Genomic DNA, 18,336 nt, shown 5'->3' on the forward strand with positions numbered 1-18,336 from the left:
AATATATTTGGGTCTTAAATGTTCATAATATCAATTTAAATGACCCCAGCAAATTACTGGTGAGTTGAGAGTCATCTTGCCTATTCTTTTGGTCCATATAATGCCTTGTAGCTGTCTGCCAGTTGTGAATTAGATGTAGGATTGTTTTCTCTCTATGTTATGACTATATGGAACAATGACGAATCTTCTTGAAAGGGTATGTAGAAAGTGTAAAAAATATTTAGTGCCTAGGCACTGAAGGAGGCTCTGAGGGAACACACAAGGGTGAGGGAGCAGACAAGTGTGTGTTGAGAGCTTAGGTAGAGACATGTGGGGGTGGGGGGACCTCGAGAAGACTCCCAGAGAAGATGACATGCAGCTGAGTGTTGAAGATTTAGGGGGATAGGGATGTGCCTAGACACGAAGTCTAAGAGCACAGATGCGCACAGAGACTTACACTAGAGGACAAGGCTTTATTTCTGCTTTGTTTACTGTTATATCTCCAGTGTCTAAGGCTTCATTTAGCTTGTAGTAGACACATAATGCACATTTGTTGAATTAATAGGTTAAATTAATTGTAAGAAGTTCTATGCCTCTGATGTAGGGTTTCACTTGGAGAATGTTCAGAAATAAAATATTTTGTAAGTGATACTAAGATTTGGATTTCATGCTAAAGATCCTGGGGAGTCATTCAGTGATTTAAAGTCTGGTAATGATGTGATAGAACTTACATCACTGTTAAAGTTGGATAGGAGGGTGCTCAAATTAGATGCAGGGAAATTAGTTGTGAGATTAGTGTAGCAGTTTATATGATAGTTGGTGGAAGCTGGAGTGGTGATCCAAATAGACAAGAGAGGGTGAATTTAAGAGATATTAAGATAGAATCAACAGGACATGGTGACCAACTTGGAGCATGAGGATAGAGGTAGAAGGAGGATGGATGATTCCCAGGTGCTAGGCTTGGCGGACATTTATGGATGCTGATGATGTGGATTATGATTGGGAATGAAGGAGGAGAAACATTTGGATAGATTGTAATGAACTGTAGAGATGTTTGGTTCCAGACACCTAGTGGAGATGTTTAAGAGGTTAATATGATTGTAATGAGTTGTAGGGATGTTTAAGAGGTTAATGTGATTGTAATGAGTTGTAGAGATGTTTGGTTCCAGACACCTAGTGGAGATGTTAAGAGTTGTAGAGATGTTTAAGAGGTTAATGTGATTTTGAGTTCTAGTGTTTGGCTACCTCTCTGGTAGCTCGTTTCTATTCTCTCAGTTCCACTTCTTTCAGGTACCCATTAAATGTTGGTATTTCTGAGAGTCCATATTAATCACTTGTTTCCACTCCATTCCTACTCATCTGTTCCTTTGGCTTCAACTTCCTGCTCTGTTGCTCACTGTCAAATTATTGTCTCCAGACAAGACTTTTGTCCTGAGTGCCAACTGTTCAGTCTAACTGCCTACATGTTGTTTCAATCAGATATTCCCCAGGCATGTAAAGATAAATGTGTACAAATAAGGACCACTCATTTTCTTCCCCCATTTCTTTTACAATGTAGAGAAAAATGGTCAAGAGCACAGATGCTAGAGTTAGACTCCCTAGATTTGAGTCCCATATGTCACTTACTAGCTTTGTGACCCTGTGCAAATTATCTGACTTTTTTGTGCCTCTGTTTTCTCATCTGTAAAGTAAGAATAACAATAGTACCTTCCTCATAGGATGTTATGAGATCAAACAAGTTAATGCATATAAAGCAATCAGATTGGTGCTGGCACATGGTAAGCACTATATTAATCAGATCTTCCTTTATTTCCTGTCCTGGTTAGTGATACCATTGTTCAACCAGCTACCCAAACCAGAAATGTGACATTTATCCTAACTCTTCCATATCACTACATCAGAAGGAGATTCATCAGAAGGAGGGGCATCAGAAGGAGATTCCACATCAAAGCAATCATTAAATCCTGCCATTTGTCTTCTTTCCATCTCTACCATTACTGCCTTGGACTTGACATTTATTGTCTTCTTTCTGAATGACATACACCGGCTACTGACTAGTGACTCATCACCCTGTCTTTGATCTTTCTCTTCTTCAACGTTTTCTATATAATCCCCAGTGATTATTCTGAAATGCAAATCTGATCACTTAAAACTCTATAGCGCCTTCCTGTTCCCACAGAAAATAGACAAACACAAACTACCAGTAAAGACCTCTGAGGTCTGTTCTGGCTTCCTTCTGTAGACTCTTCTCTGTCTCATTCTGATCTCTCTTTAATGTTTACAGTTCTGTGATGTTTTGTGCTACTCTGGTCTTCCATGTCTTCGTATATCTGATTTTCTGTGGAATGCCTCCTACCTCATATTTCTTCTCAGATATTGTTTCTGGCAGCTCCTCCAAGCAGGATAGATATTCTTTGCTGTATGTTGATACTCTACCTTGGGTGGAGCTTAAGCATAGTACCTGTTATGCTTATTATAGTTATTTATTTGCATGTTGTCCTCCTCCAAGGCTGAGCTTGTTTATTTTTGAATAAATTGGCTCCATGAATCAACTTCTAGGAAACTATGAGTTATGCCTCCCATCTTCAGTTAAGGGCAGATGTTAAACATTTATTTACTGTACAGATTATCTGGTTAACAATCATTTACATCTATATTGAAGAAACCATCTCTGTAGTTACTTTATTTGCTGCCGGGGGGAATTTTTTTTAGTTTTCTTGATACAGCTAGTGTGTTCTTTTTCAGGCTTCCAAAGATCATTCTTTTCCTAGTGGAGCAATAACTATATTTCCTGGTAACTCAGTTACTGGAAGAGCCAATAAGAAATGTCATCAAGGTGGTTCTTAAACTATAGTGTGGGAATTGTACTCTATTTTTTTGTCTAGGAGTCAGGAAGCCATGAAAGAGCATTAACTTACTGCCTGAAGACCAGCTGTTAACACTGAAGATTAACGCTTTATTGAGATGGGTTGAGAGAGAAGAAAGGCATTTGATTTGTAGCTGTCATGTGGCATCCAGAGGGAAGCACTCTCTCTGACTGAAAATCTGTACAGTTCAACCACAAATAAGGCATTTGGGCAATATAACAGAATCAATTTAATAACACTGAGTCTTCAGGTTACTTTTTGAAGGTACATTTTGCAGGAAAAATGGCATACATATTTTCTTTTTATATAGATATATTAGAAAATAAATTTAAAAATATGTAGTCTAAATCCAAAGTAATGCTAAAGGAATAGTCATTATTTTTCCAGCATTTATTTAAAAAATGTTTTCCCATAAAACATGCTTACAGGTTTTCCCATAAAATATGCTTACGGGAGAAAACCTATTGCACAGAAAATGATACAATTCAATTGGATGGTGGTGCTCAGTGGCTAATGAACTATTCAATATTGTTCGTGTCAGTGCTTTGGCTCCCTGTTGCTGAAGGCAGGCATAAGTGCTTTCCAAACCCTTGCAGGTGATCAACACCAAGAGGATAGTTCAAATGGGGTCTGTGGCTCCTATCTCCAAATTCCATTAGCAAAATGTTAAAATATTGTATGTAGGCACTTAGTTTTTTAAGGTAAGCGAATACTACAATATCAGGGAAAACACACTGTGGCTGTGTTATATCAAAAATAATAGTAACATTTTTCCGTGGTGCTTGGGTTTTAAAACGGTTGGCGTTTGTTGCATTTCTTTTGATCCATACAACTTGGGCCATAGTTAGCATTATCTCAGTTTAGAAGTAAAAGAAATAGGTTCGGAGAGAATTTTGCCCATTCAGTGGTAGAGCTAATATTCAAAGGAAGGTTCTGTGTTTCTCATTCGAGGACTCATCTCCTGAGCTCACACAGCAAGAGTGTGCTGGGCATATGGTTTTCATTTTGCTGGACCATCAGAAGGAGACATATCTTTAGGATGTTCAGATTAGGTGCTCATTCTTCAGAAGAGAGAAACTTTTCTTTAGCACTTTGTTGTACTTCAGAGATGCCTGTGAAACAGGATAGACTTCGAAATAGTAAAATTTGATTATCAAAATTTTTGGCTTTTGGTGAGAATATATCTGTCAGTGGTAGGACTGGTGAGAGCCATGAAGGGAACTAGTAACTGTGAGTTAATAAGAAGGGGGTTGGATACTGGAATCTATTTATTACTCTTAATGCAAAGTTCTGTTTGCTTAATAAAAAAAATGTAGAGAAAAATGTTAGATGTATCTGTGTATTTTTAGTCAACACATAATTATTTGCTATTTATAATGTTTGATACATTCTATTTTGCTTTAACAACATTCACAGGGATTGTTACTAAATCTACATATAAATATATGGTCACAAGCATGAATTGAAACAGGTCTCAGCATGAAGATATAAAGTGACTAAACCTTTTTTTCTTCTTTCTTCTCTCTGTCCTTTCTTCTCTGCCTTTTTTCTTGAAGAAAATATTTTATTGACTTGTTAAATGGCATTATTCAGGCCATTCATCATTTTTCCTTGGCATTTTATACATCCTAAAATTTCACTCATGGTCCTCACGGCTCAAACAGATGCCCTCCAGCTCTTTTTATTTTTATATCCTGACTTAAATTTTTTTTATTATTATACTTTAAAGTTCTGGGATACATATGCAGAACATGCAGGTTTGTTACATAGGTATACACATGCCATGGTGGTTTGCTGCACCCATCAACCCGTCATCTACATTAGGTATTTCTCCTAATGCTGTCCCTCTCCTGGCCCCCCACCCTCTGACAGGCCCTGGTGTGTGATGTTCCCCTCCCTGTGTTCATGTGTTCTCATTGTTCAACTCCCACTTATGAGTGAGAACATGCGGTGTTTGGTTTTCTGTTCTTGTGTTAGTTTCCTGAGAATGATGGTTTCCAGCTTTATCCATGTCCCTGCAAAGGACATAAACTCATCCTTTTTTATGGCTGAACAGTATTCCATGGTGCCCTCCAGCTCTTTACTCTGGAGTTTTGCTTTTTTCCCTCCCTGCATTCATTTTGATTCTCAAATTAACCTGTTCCTTTTTGGTTAAAAATAAAACAAACAAAACAAAGTAGATGCTTTGTTTATTTTGATTAAATTTTAAATGATTGTTGAAGCCATCTAAACTAGCAGTTATTCTAATATAGCGCATGAAGAATATTAAAAGTGTATTTAGTTATATGTATTTAAATATATTCAAAACATCATTATAAAGAGAGTATTGTTCTTTCTCTTTTCTGAACTCCAATGTAGTTTATCTTCCCTTCTTTAATGGTTTTCATGACTATGTTTTGTTCCCATTAGGTTCCGAACTCCTGGTGTCTACCCAGCATGAGTCCATGCCCACAGCATCTCCCTAGCACTTCTTAATTTCTCAGTGAATTTTTTTTGATGAATAAATAATGGTATTTCAGTCGCATTTTCAAAAGCACATACAAATTTGTAATTTCACTATTTTCTATTGTAGTCATATACGTTGACATTCTAAATGAACTTTGGTCCTTGAAGTCAATGAGAAAAGTCATTAACTTAAGGTTGTTCAGTACTATTTCCTCTGTCAGAACACACAGTAGCACTTGCCAAATAAATTAGTTGTAGTAGGAGAAATTTGGCTTGATTTTATCTTTTTGACTCTCCATTCCAAACTATCAGTGCAGCTAAACACTTGGGTTTTGGAGCATTCTCACTGTCCTTTGCCTATTTTATAAGCTGCTGTTCATTGAAATCCCATCTGTGTTGAAGCTCTGTTCTGCCAAATTTCCTACAAAACTCATAGCACGCCACATGCCATTATTGCCCACTGAATTGTTGAGTAACATATCCTGACTTGAGGCCAGTGGTTTTCAAACCTTGGTGAGCATCAGAAACATCTGGGAGCTTGTTAAGAGTACAAATGCTGCATGCCTTCCCCTGAATATGATGAATCTGTAGCTTCAGGATGAGTCCTGGGTGTCTGTGGTTATAATACTTTCTGATGGGCCTGGAACCACATTTTGAGAAAAACTGCCACTGAGTGAAAAGTTTATTTTGAATGGAATTCTGTGATGATTCCTCTAAAAGTTGTGAGACATTCTAAATGTGTTTAAAAACTGTGCTATAGGTATGTTTTTGAATTCTTCGACATTGCAGAATCAGCAATAATTTATGTGGCATTGCAGATGTAATATTATGTAGTACTATCTTTGCTGCAGTTTTATTAGCTTAGTGTTTATTAATATGTCATTTAAAATATGATCTTTATCAAAACGTCCATTTATCAGGAATAAGAACAAATGGAATGAGAACAAACAAAACTCAATTTGCAATGTTTGTTTTCTGCTGTTAATTTCTATAGACAAAATACTTATTTCTACTTGATCCCACATTTTATGTGTCCTTTTTTTTAGACAAGAGTCTCACTCTGTTGCACAGGCTGGAGTGCAGTGGTGCGACATTGGCTCACTGCAACTCTGCCTCCCAGGCTCAAGCGATCCTCCCACCTCAGCCTTCTGGGTAGCTGGGACTAGAGGCCCACGCCACCACGTCTGGCTGGCTAGTTTTTGTAGGGTTTTTTTTTTTCTTTTTTTTTTTGTAGCGCTGGGTTTTTGCTATGTTGTCCAGGCTGGTCTTGAACTCCTGGACTCAAGCAATTCACCAGCCTCAGCCTCCCATAGTGCTGGGATTACAGGTGTGGAACACTGTGCCCGGCCTTGTTTCCTTTTATTGGAGAAAAGTGTCAGTATATTTAGAGGATACAATCTAATGTGCCTTTAGTAGTGGTATATGATGGTGCTAATATTGATCTTGAGGCCAAAGAGCGTACTGGGTTTTTTAATTATCAAAAAGAGTTTAAGAATTAATTTCAGTATCACATATTTTCTTTAATGCTGATTCTCTGAAAATCAAAATTCATTGATAATACACAGAAACTAAGGGCAAACTTTTATCAGTTTCAGCTAGATGAATGAATGACATATTCCAGTGAAGTCATTATGATAATGTACATGGATTTCTGTGCAATATAAGGCCCTCCTCCTCCTTTTTTTTAAATTTGAAAATGCTTCTTTTATTAAGATGGGCCTATCATTGTTTGGATAAGCGATACATTGAAAGGTTGGGAATTAGGAGAATTGCTGTGGAACTTGGTTTATGAATGTACAGGTGATAAGAATTCCTTCATGCCTTAATCTGTATTTCTTACTTTTTTTAGGGACTTTCTCCCTCGAGGGTCGGGCATTGTAACAAGACGACCTCTTGTGCTGCAGCTTGTTACTTCTAAAGCAGGTAATGAATGAAGATGTTTACCGCATGGATGGGCACATCCTGTGGCCCCTTTTGCCTTCATAGGTGTGGGATTGTACAAATAGAAACGTTTTTGTGATCGCCCCACTGTGGGCAGCTGCCCACATTTCTCTCCAGAATGCTGCCTTCTTCATTGCTCTTTTCATTCCTTTGATTACATTAAAGGGGATATTTTCATAGATTTTTTTAAAATACCTACTTAAAAAAATGTTTTATTGCTCATTGTAATCCATCTATATAATTTTACAGTACAGCACAACCACTAATACTCCTTTGGTATGCTTTGTGTGTGTGTGTGTGTGTGTGTGTGTGTGTGCGTATGTGTGCATGCACATGCACTTGGGGATTAACTCATAAAATTCAACAACCATATAATATCTGTATGGATGTGTATGTGCGTATCTATATTTACACTGTGCTATGCTTCCTTCTCTCTCTTACATCATGATAATTTGATAGGTAAATGATGCTTTGTTTTTATTTTCATTTTATTTCAGCAACTGATGATGTTGAATTTTTTTTTCATGTTTATTTGCCATTTGTATTTCTTCTCTCGTGAATTGGCCATTTTTCTTTTTCCCCATTTCTTTTTGGGGATTTTACTAGTTTTCCTATCAATTTCTTTGAATGCTTAAGACTGAAGCACCTCATAAAAATCATCTATCATAAATTGCAAATATTTTTAATAGCTTGTTAAAGATACAGTTTACATACCATACAACTTGACCAATAGAAGTTAACAGTTGAATAGATTTTAGTCTTTTCACAGATATGTGCAACCATCTCCACAATCAGCTTTAGAACTGTTTGATCACTCCCAAAAGAAAGCCTGTATGTTTCTGCTGTCACCTCTTTTCATAACACCTTTCCCCACCACTCCAGCCTAGGCACTACTAACCTATGTTCTGTCTCTATGGATTTCCCTATTCTGGACATGTCATATGAATAGAATCATTTAATATGTGGTCTTTTGTAATAGGCTTTTCTTGCTTGGCATAATCTTTTCAAGGTTCATCCATGTCGTAGCATGTATTAGAACTTCATTTCTTTTTATGGCCTAATAATATTCCATTGTCTGGATAGATCACATTTTGTTTGTCCATTCGTTAACTGAGGAGCATTTGAGTTGTTTCCACCCTTTGGTTATTATGAATGATGTTGCTATAAACATTCATGTACATGTTTCTGTGTGGACATGTGTTTTCATTTCTCTTAGAAATATACCTGAGTATAATTGCTGGGCCATGTAGTAACTCTCTGTTTAATTGTTTAAGGAACTGACAGACTGTTTTCAAAGCAGCTGCCCCATTTTACATTCCTACCGGCAGTGTATGAGGGTTACAGTTTTTCTATATCCTTGCTAACCCTTGTGGGTAAGAAGTGATATCTCACTGTGGTTTTGACTTGCGTTTTCCTAATGACTAAAGATACTGAGCATCTTTTCATGTGCTTAATGATCATTTGTATATATTATTTAGATAAATGTGTATTCATTTCCTTTGCCTAGTTTTAAATTTGGTTATTTGCCTTTGTATTACTGAATTGTAACAGATATATATTAAATACAAGTCCCATATCAGATATTTGATTTGCATTTTTTTTTTCTATTTTATAGGCCCTTTTCATTTTCTTGGCAGTGTCCTTTGAAGCACAAGATTTTTTATTTTGGTGAAGTCCAATTTATCTACTTTTTTCTTTCATTTCTCGTTATTTTTGTATATATCTAAGAATCCTTTGCCAAAACCAAGGTTATAAAACTTTATTCTATGTTTTCTTCTAGGAGATTTATAGCTTTGATCTTCCACTTAGGTCTTTGATCCATTTTTTAAAATTACTAATTTTTAAATTTTAAATTTCATTTTAGATTTGGGGATAGGTACAGGTTTGTTATATTGCATAATGTGTAATGCTGAGGTTTGGGTTTCTAGTGAAACTATCACCCAAATAGTAAACGCAGTCCCCAATAGGTAGAATTTCAACCTTCACCCCTCTTCCACTCTTCCCCCTTTTGGAGTTCTTTGCATCTGTTTTTCCCATCTTTATGTCCATGTTTACCCACTGTTTAGTTCACACTTGTAAGTGTGAATGTGTGGTATTTTATTTCCTATTTCTGTTATTTCTCTTAGAATAATGGCCTCCAGCTCAGTCCATGTTGCTGTGAAGGACATGATTTCATTCTTTTTTATGGCTGCATAGTATTCTATGGTGTATGTGTCCCCTGTTTTCTTTATCCAGTCAACTGTTGGTGGGCTTAGGTTGATTCCATGATTTTGCTGTTGTGAATAGTGCTGCAGTAAACATACAAGTATAGGTATCTTTTTGAAATAATAATTTCTTTTCCTTTGGGTAGCTACCCAGTAGTGGGATTGCTGGGTCAAATGGTAGTTCTATTTTTAGTCCTTTGAGAATTCTCTATACTGTTTTCCATAGGGGTTAAACTAATTTACATTCCCACCAATAGTTTATAAGTGTTCCCTTTTCTCTGCAGCCCTGCCATCATGGGTTATTTTTGACTTTTTAACAATAGCTGTATCAGTCTATTTTCACACTGCTATGAAGAACTGCCCAAGACTGGGTATTTTATAAAAGAAAGAGGTTTCATTGACTCACAGTTCAGCATGGCTGGGGAGGTCTCAGGAAACTTACAATCATGGTGGAAGGCAAAGGGGAAGCAAGGCACCTTCTTCACAAGGTGGCAGGAAGGAGAAGAGCCAAGCAAAGGGGAGGAGCCCCTTAAAACTATCAGATCTCATGAGAACTCACTATCATGAGAACAGCATGGGGGAAACTGCCCCCCATTAATTACCTCCACCTGGTCTCTCCCTTGACATGTGGGGATTGTGAAGATTATGGGGATTACAATTCAAGATGAGATTTGGGTGGGGACACAAAGCCTAAACATATCAATAGCCATTCTGACTGGTATGAGATGATATCTTATTGTAGTTTTGATCCGTATTTCTCTGATGATTAATGATGTTGAGCATTGTTTTCTTATGTTTGTTGGCTGCTTTTATGTATTCTTTTGAGAATTGTCTGTTCCTGTCCTTTGCCCACTTTTTTTTTTCCCCCTTTTTGAGATGGAGTCTCGCTCTTCTTGCCTAGGCTGGAGTGCAGTGGCGGGATCTCGGCTCGCTGCAACCTCTGCCTCCTGGGTTCAAGTGATTCTCTTGCCTCAGCCTCCTGAGTAGCTGGGATTACAGGTGCCCACCACCACGCCCGGCTAATTTTTTGTATTTTTAGTAGAGACGGGGTTTCACCATGTTGGCCAGGCTGGTCTTGAACTCCTGACCTCAGGTGATTCACCCACCTCGGTCTCCCAAAGTGTTGGGATTACAGGCATGAGCCACCATGCCCGGCCCTTTGCCCACTTTTTTTAAATTCTTTTTATTTTATTTTTATTTTTGAGACAGAGTCTTGCTCTGTCACCCAGGCTGGAGTGCAGTGGTGCGATCTCAGCTCACTGCAAGCTCCGCCTCTTGGGTTCATGCCATTCTCCTGCCTCAGCCTCCCGAGTAGCTGGGATTGCAGGTACCCACCACCACACCTGGCTAATTTTTTTTTGTATTTTTAGTAGAGATGGGGTTTCATCATGTTAGCCAGGATGGTCTCAATCTCCTGACCTCGTGATCTGCCTGCCTTGGCCTCCCAAAGTGCTGGGATTACAGGTGTGAGCCACCGTGCCTGGCCTTTGCCCACTTTTTAATGGGGTTATTTGTTTTTTTCTTGTTGATTTGTTTAAAGTTCTTATAGATTCTGGATATTAGTCCTTTATTGGATGCATAGTTTGCAAAAATTTTCTCTCATCCTGTAGATCGTCTGTTTACTCTGTTGGTAGTTTCTTTTGCAGTGCATAATGTCTTTAGTTTAGTTAAGTCCCGTTTGTCTATTTCTGTTTTTGTTGCATTGCTTTTGGGGTCTTAGTGAGAAGTCCTTTTCCTAGGCTGATGTCTGGAGAAGTTTTTCCTAGGTTTTCTTCTAGAATTTTTATAGTTTGAGGACTTACATTTAAGTCTTTAATCCATCATGAGTTAATTTTTGTATATGGTGAGAGATAGGGGTCCAGTTATATTCTTCTGCATATGGTTAGGCAGTTTTCCCAACACCATTTATTGAGTAGGATGTTCTTTCCTCATTGTTTTTGTTGACTTTGTGGAAGACGTGTTGGTTGAAAATATGTGGCTTTACTTCTGAGTTCTCTGTTCTTTTACATTGATCTATGTGTCTATTTTCATACAAGTACCATGCTGTTTTGGTTACTATAGCCTTGTATAGTTTAGTATAGAGTAGTTTGAAGTTGGGTAATGTGATGCCTCTGGCTTTGTTCTTTTTGCTTAGGATTGCTTTGGCTATTTGGGCTCTCTTCTGGTTCCCTATTAATTTTAGTATTGTTTTTTCTAATTCTGTGAAAGATGATGTTGGTAATTTGATAGGAATTGCATAGAATCTGTAGATTGCTTTGGGCAGTATAGTCATTTTAACCATATTGATTCTTCCAATCCATGAGCATGGGATGTTTTTCCATTTGTTTGTGCTTTGATCCATTTTGAGTTAATAATTTTATGCACTAAGTGTCAAACTTTATTTTCTGCATGTGGATATCCACTAGTCCCAGCACAATTTGTTGAAAAGACTATTCTTTCCTCACTGTAGGATCTTGGCCCCTTTGTCAAAAATCTGTTGACCAGAGAAATACAGGTTTATTTTGGGACTCTCAGTTCTTTTCGACTGATATTTATGTCTATCCTTGGGCCAATAGCATACTCTCTTAATTACCCTTGCTTTGTGGTAAGTTTCAAATTGAGAATTGCAAGTCCTTCTACTTTATTTTTTTTCAGGATTGTTTTGGCTATCCTGGGTCTCTTGAAGTTCAATATGAATTTCAGAATGAGCTTGTTTTATCCCGGGAATGTAAGATTGGTTTAACATCTGAAAATCATATCAGTGGAATGAAAAAAAATCACAGAATTACCTCAATAGATTCAGAAAAAGTATTTGACAAAATCTAACATGCATTCATGATAAAACTCTTAGTAAATAAAGGGGAAGGAACTTCCTCAACCTGGTAAAGGGCTTATATGAAAACCACATAGCTACCATCATACTTAATGGTGACAGACTGGATGCTTTCTGTCTAAAATCAGTAATAATACAAGGATGTCTGCTCTTGTCACTCTTATTCAACATTGTACGGTAGGTTCTAACCAGGACAGCTGGGGAAAGAAAGAAATAAAAGGCATCTACCCTGGAAAGGAAGATGTAAAATTATCTCTATTTGAAGATGATGTGATCACATGTATAGAAAAACTTAAAGAGTCCACTAAAAAACTGTTAGAACTACTAAACTATGTTAGCAAGATTTCAGGATACACTATCAATACACAACAATCAGTTGTATTTTTTAAACTTTTATTTTAGGTTTGGGGGTGCATGTGAAGGTTTGTCGCATAAATAAACCCATGTCATGGGGGTTTGTGGTACAGATTATTTCATCATCCAGGTTTTAAGTCCAGTAAGCCCAGTGCTCAAGTTATCTTTTCTGCTCCTCTCCCTCTTCCCACTCTCCACCCTCAAGTAGACCCCAGTGTCTACTTTTTCCTTCTTTGTGTTCAAAAATTATCATCATTTAGCTCCCACTTATAAGTGAGAAAATGCAATATTTGGTTTTCTGTTCCTGCGTTAGTTTGCCAAGGGCAATATAGCCTCCATAAAGACACACATATGTGAATGTTCATTGTAGCACTATTCACAATAGCAGACATGAAATCTACCTAAATGCCCACGAATGACAGATTAGATTTAAAAAAATATAGTACATATACACCATGGAATACTATATGGCCTTAAAAAAGAACAAGATAATGTCTTTTGCAGGAATATGGAGGGAGCTGGCTATATTGTCCGTTATTGTAATTCTTAGTTTCCTTGGATTGGGTTTTGCCATCCTCCTGAATCTCAATGATCTTTGTTTGTGTCCATATTCTGAATTCTATTTCTGTCATTTCAACCAGCCTAGCCTGGTTAAGAACTCATGTTGGAGAACTGGTGTGATTGTTTAGAGGACATATAATACTCTGGCCATTTGAGTTACTGGAGTTCTTGCTTTGGTTCTTTCTCATCTCTGCATGTGGGTGTTCCTTTAACTACAGTGTAGATTGAATACAGTTGATAGACTTCTTTTCTGGATGTTTTCAGCAAGCCAAGGCTTTGTGCAGGGTTGTTCTTTGAAGCTGACTTCTTATCTCTGGCTTCAGGGTGGGGTATGTTAGTGAGGTATTTTTGGTGTTGAAGCTTTGGGGTGTGATCCAGTAGGTGGCACTTAGGCTAATTAATCAATTGGTAGACTTTTCCTCAGTTATGTGGCTCCCCTATTTTTCCTCACAGTTGCAGCTCTGTTCCCTCTCAACACTCTGAAAGGGTGGGTTCTTCTCCCTCTTGAGTGCTGGCTATAGACTGTGGCTTGGCATTCCTGGGCTTCTCACTGCCACTCTGGTGTGATCTCAGTACTTGTGTTCCCTCCTCCACTTGGAGGCAGTGGAGGAAGGGACCTTAGTAGTGATTGTGGCCAAGGGTCTTTTGCTTGGTTCCTGGGGGCTCCACCCCAGAGAGATGCAGGTCAGCAATTGCTTAGTGCAATCAGCCCAGGGTGGAGGGTCTGTGCTATGGGACCAAGCCAGGGGTTCCCTGTCTGGTGATGAGCACTGGAGGGTGTGTGGGACCCATGTGAGACAGTCTGGCCTTCCTCCTTAGGTCAACTGCAGCTTGCTGGAGGTGTGAATAAGGCACTTAGGATCTTTGCTTCTTCATTAGTCTGAGGGTAGCAAGGGTAGTTCCACTGCAGAGGCAGTGGCAGAGAGGCTTTTAGTTGCTCCCGGAGGCTTTGTCCAGGGAATTGCCAAGCTGCTACTGGCTTGATTGCTCTGGCGCAGGGTGGCTGGAGGACCTTCCCGGTGAGGAGATATGGGAATGGGCACCCATCTAACAGTCTGGCTGCTTTTTCATAGAGCTCTTGTGGTATGCTTGGTGCCTGCTCTGGTCCCTAGTCACTTTGAATTTTCTAGTACCTGGAGGTATCACCAGTGAAGGCTGCAAAACAGCCATGATGGCGGCCTGCCCCTCCCTCTGGGAGCTCCGTCCCAGGGAGTTACAGACCTGTTGCCAGCCCAAACACTGTAGGAGGTGGCTGGAGACCCTGGTTGGGACGTCCCTTCCAGGAAGGAAGAATGGGATTGGAGACCTGCTTAGAAAAGCGGTCTGGCTATGTTTTCATAGAGCAGCTGTGCTCTGTTGGGGCATCTGCTTTAGCCCCTGGTTGCCTCAGACACTCCAAAGCCTGAAGGCTAGAATGGTTATGTTGCCCAAACAGCAAAGATGGCAGCCTGACTTTCCCTCTGGGAGCTCTGTCCCAGGGTGGTTTGAAACCTGTGTCAGCCAGAGAACACCAGTGGGGATAGCTAGAGACCCTGGTTAGGAAGTTGCACCTGGTGGTGAGGAACAGGATTGCGGACACATTTTAAAAAGCGGTCTGGCCATGTTTTTGTAGGACAGCTGTGCTGTGCTGGGGGTCCCTTCAGTCCCTGGTTGTCTTGGACTTTCCAAAGTTTGAAGGCTGGAACAGCAAAGTCACCCAAACAGAGCATTGGTGAGGATGGCTGGAGACCCTGGTTGGGAGGTCCTGCCCAGTAAGGAGGAAGGGGACTGGGGACCTGCTTAAAAAAGCAGTCTGGCCACATTTTTGGAGAGTAGCTATGCTGTGCTGGGGGACCGCTTCCACCCCTAGTCAGCTTGGATTCTCCAAAGCCCAAAGGCTGGATGGCTAAGTTGCCCAAACAGCAAAGATGGCAGCCTGGCCCTCCCTCTAGGAGCTCCATCCCAGGGAAGTTTCAAGTCTCTGTTGGCCAGAAAACACCAGCTGAGGTGGCAGAAGACCCCAGTTGGGAGGTCCCGCCTAGTGAGGAGGAGAAACAGCATTGGGGATCCTCTTAAAAGAGTGGTCTGGCCACATTTTCGTAGAGCAGCTGTGATGTGCTGAAGGACGGCTTTTCCCCCCAGTTGGCTTGGACTCTCCAAAGCTGAAGTCTGGAATGGCTAAGTCATCCAAATAGCAAAGATGGTGGCCCACCCCTCCCTCTGGGAGCTCTGTCCCAGTGAGGTTTCAAATCTCTGTGGGCTGGAGAATACAGGTGTGGGTGTCTGCAGGCTCTGGTTGAAAGGTTCCACCTGGTAAATAGGAACAGGATCAGGGACCAGGTTGCTTAGAAAAGCAACCTGGCCACGTTTTTGTAGAATAGCCATGCTGTGCTGGGAGATCCCTTCTGCCCCTGGTCAGTTTGAACTCTCCAAAGTCTGAAGGCTGGAATGGCGAAGTCACCCCAACAGCAAAGATGGTGGCCTGCCCCTCCCCGCAGAGCTCTATCCAGGGAGGTGCAATGCTGCTACCAGTGGCTGGCTGGATTTCCAAGCCAGTGGGTCATATCCTGTGAGGTGCCGTGGAATTGGGGCCTGCAGACAGTCACTTCTCAGCCCCCTGGATTCAGCCTCTTTCCTAGGGTTATGTATGGGGGTCTATCCTCCTGCTTTGCCATAGTTGCAGCTGCTTTTGTTGGAAAGCCTGGGTATCTAAGGCTCCTGGTCTCTGCATGTGCCTGAGTGGCTGCTCTGCTGAGATTCCACAAAGCTCTGTGTGTCAGACTGAATGCCGTGGTGGAGTGGGTTCATGAGGGAATCTCCTGAACTGAGGGTTGCAAAGATCCGTGGGAGAAGCATGGATCCCTGGGGTCCCTCATTTACTCACCGCTTCCCTGGGTGGGGGATGTTCCTCTGGCTCTGTGTTGATCCCAGGTGGGCCATTGTCCTGTCTTAGTTTTCTCCGTTCTCCACGGGTCAAGTTGTTTCCTTGATTAGTCCCAGTGCAAGTACTTGGATGTTTCAGTTGAGCGTGCTGTATTTACTTGCCCCTTCTGTGCCTCTCCATGAGAGCCACACATGCTAGCTGATTCTAGTCGGCCATCTTGGCCACCTCTCATCAATTGTATTTCTATACATTTGTGATGAACAATCCAAAAACGAAGTTAAGAAAATAATTCAGTTTATAATAGCATCAAAAAGAGTATATCGCTTAGGGGGAGGTGTGGTGGCTCACACCTGTTGTCCTGGCGCATAAGAAGGTAAGGCCAGGCATTAGAGACCAGCCTGGGCAACATAGGAAGCCCTCATCTGTATAACAAAAAGAGTATACCACTTAGGAATCAATTTAACAAAAGAAATGAAAAACTTATGCTATGAAAACTATAAATTATTGTTGAAAGAAATTAGAGAAGATCTAAATATTTGGAAAAATATTCCATGCTCAATGACTGGAAGACGTAACAGTGTTAAGATGGCAATGCCTTAAAAACTGATCTACAAATTCAATGCAATCCCTGTCATAATCCCAGCTGATATCTGGAGAAATCATAGATATTTTAACCATTTTTATAATGTTATAAAATCTGTATTAAGTTTGATTCAAAGGACAGGCTCAAGTCCTGTCATTTGAAAAAAGTAAATTATTTGTAACACTGTTTGTGGCCCTGAGGATATAAAAGTGATTAGGACAAAGTTTCTGTACTTCTGGTTATTTATATTCTGGATTTATTATTTTAAATATATAGAAGTTTTACTCTATGGTTATGAAATCTGTACATTTAGATTTTTAAAAAGTAAATATTTAGCACAGTGCTCTTCACTTTCATAGGTAAAAAATTTTAAACATTTCTTTACTTTATCTGAAATTTGTTTTCATGTATGCAGAAACAATTTTTTCCCCAATTCCCTTTATCTTATATTACAGTGTGGTAACTACTACCATCTATTTCTGAATATCTTTCTGTTTTATTGTACCAATTCCACAGTGTTTTACTTTTGTGGGTTTATAATTTGCTTTAAATATCTCACCTGGCAGGGCTGTAGTCCTCTCCCATTACTTTTTTTAAATTTAGGGGTTCTATTATAATTGTGTGGAAAAGTCTAGAAAAATTTTGTAAAGATGAAACTATTGCCACTAGAATTATTTTAAACCAGTAGATTTACTAGGGAATAACTGATACCTTAAAAATATTTATTATTTTTTTAATCCAAGGACCATAATGTATCTTTTCCTTCCCTCCCTCCCTCCCTTCCTTCCTTCCTCCCTCCCTTCCTCCCTCCCTCCCTCTCCCTCTCCCCATCCCCCACCCTCCCTCCATTCCTCCCTCCCTCCCTCCCTCCCTTCCTCCCTTCTTCCCTTCCTCCCTTCCTTCCTCTCTCTTTCTCTCTTTCTTTCCTTCTTTCCTCATTTTTGAGATAGGGTCTCACTCTGTTACCCAGGCTGGAGTGCGGTGGCATGATCATTGCTCAGTGTAACCTCCAACTCCTCAGCTAAAGTGATCCTGCTGCCTCCACCTCCCAAATAGCTAGGACTACGGGCATGCACCACCAGGCAAGGCTAATTTTTAATTTTTTTTTTGTAGAGATGGGGTCTTGCTATGTTGCTCAGGCTGGTCTTGAACTCCTAGGCTCAAGTGATCTTCCGAAAACAATTTACCTGCCTTGGCTTCTCAAAGTGCTGGGATTACAGGCATGAGCCACTGCACTCCCCACCCACCTCCTACCTTTTTCTTTGTATTTCTTAGTAAAAAAATTTTTCCCTTCCCTCACTTCAGGCATCCTATTAAAATTTTTGATGGTTTTATATAGTGTTCATGCTTTTCTAGATAGGGTATTCATCTTTATTTTTTATTGTTCTTTTAGTTTAGGTTATTTTACAGTTATATTTTCAAACTCCTTATTGCTGATCTTAAAAGCCGTTGCATTTTAAACTTTTTAATTAACCATCTTATTCTACATTTGGTAGATTAAAGCATTTTAAATTTATTCTCTTGGGTATTTTAGTTATACAGCCATTTCATTTGCACTTCTTAATTTATTCAGTAAATACTCATCATGCAAATACTGGAATGGCTGAGAAAAGAGACATTGACTAGAATATTAATAAGTTTCTTTGCAGTGGGGACCTTTTGGTGAGTATAGACATGGGAAAATATTCTTACATATTGAGCTCCTTCAAGAAGGCCTAACGTGCTTC

At 39.7% G+C, this 18,336-nt stretch overlaps 1 protein-coding gene across 26 annotated transcripts in view; it reads left to right on the forward strand.

Annotated features, from left to right (window-relative positions):
* The window catches only part of DNM3 (dynamin 3), a 576,969-nt gene that overhangs the window by 73,110 nt on the left and 485,523 nt on the right, over nucleotides 1–18,336 (forward strand). For all 26 annotated transcript variants that reach the window (NR_146559.2, XM_017000979.2, NM_001350206.2 and 23 more), the window contains exon 2: nucleotides 7,141–7,214. Coding sequence is in view for 25 of the 26 variants with exons in the window: in XM_017000979.2 (XP_016856468.1) it covers nucleotides 7,141–7,214 (74 nt within the window). In the remaining variant the exon portion in view is untranslated. The remainder of the gene's footprint in view (nucleotides 1–7,140; nucleotides 7,215–18,336) is intronic.

This window comes from Homo sapiens, chromosome 1 (assembly GCF_000001405.40).
Source record: "Homo sapiens chromosome 1, GRCh38.p14 Primary Assembly".
Classification (NCBI taxonomy): domain Eukaryota; kingdom Metazoa; phylum Chordata; class Mammalia; order Primates; family Hominidae; genus Homo; species Homo sapiens.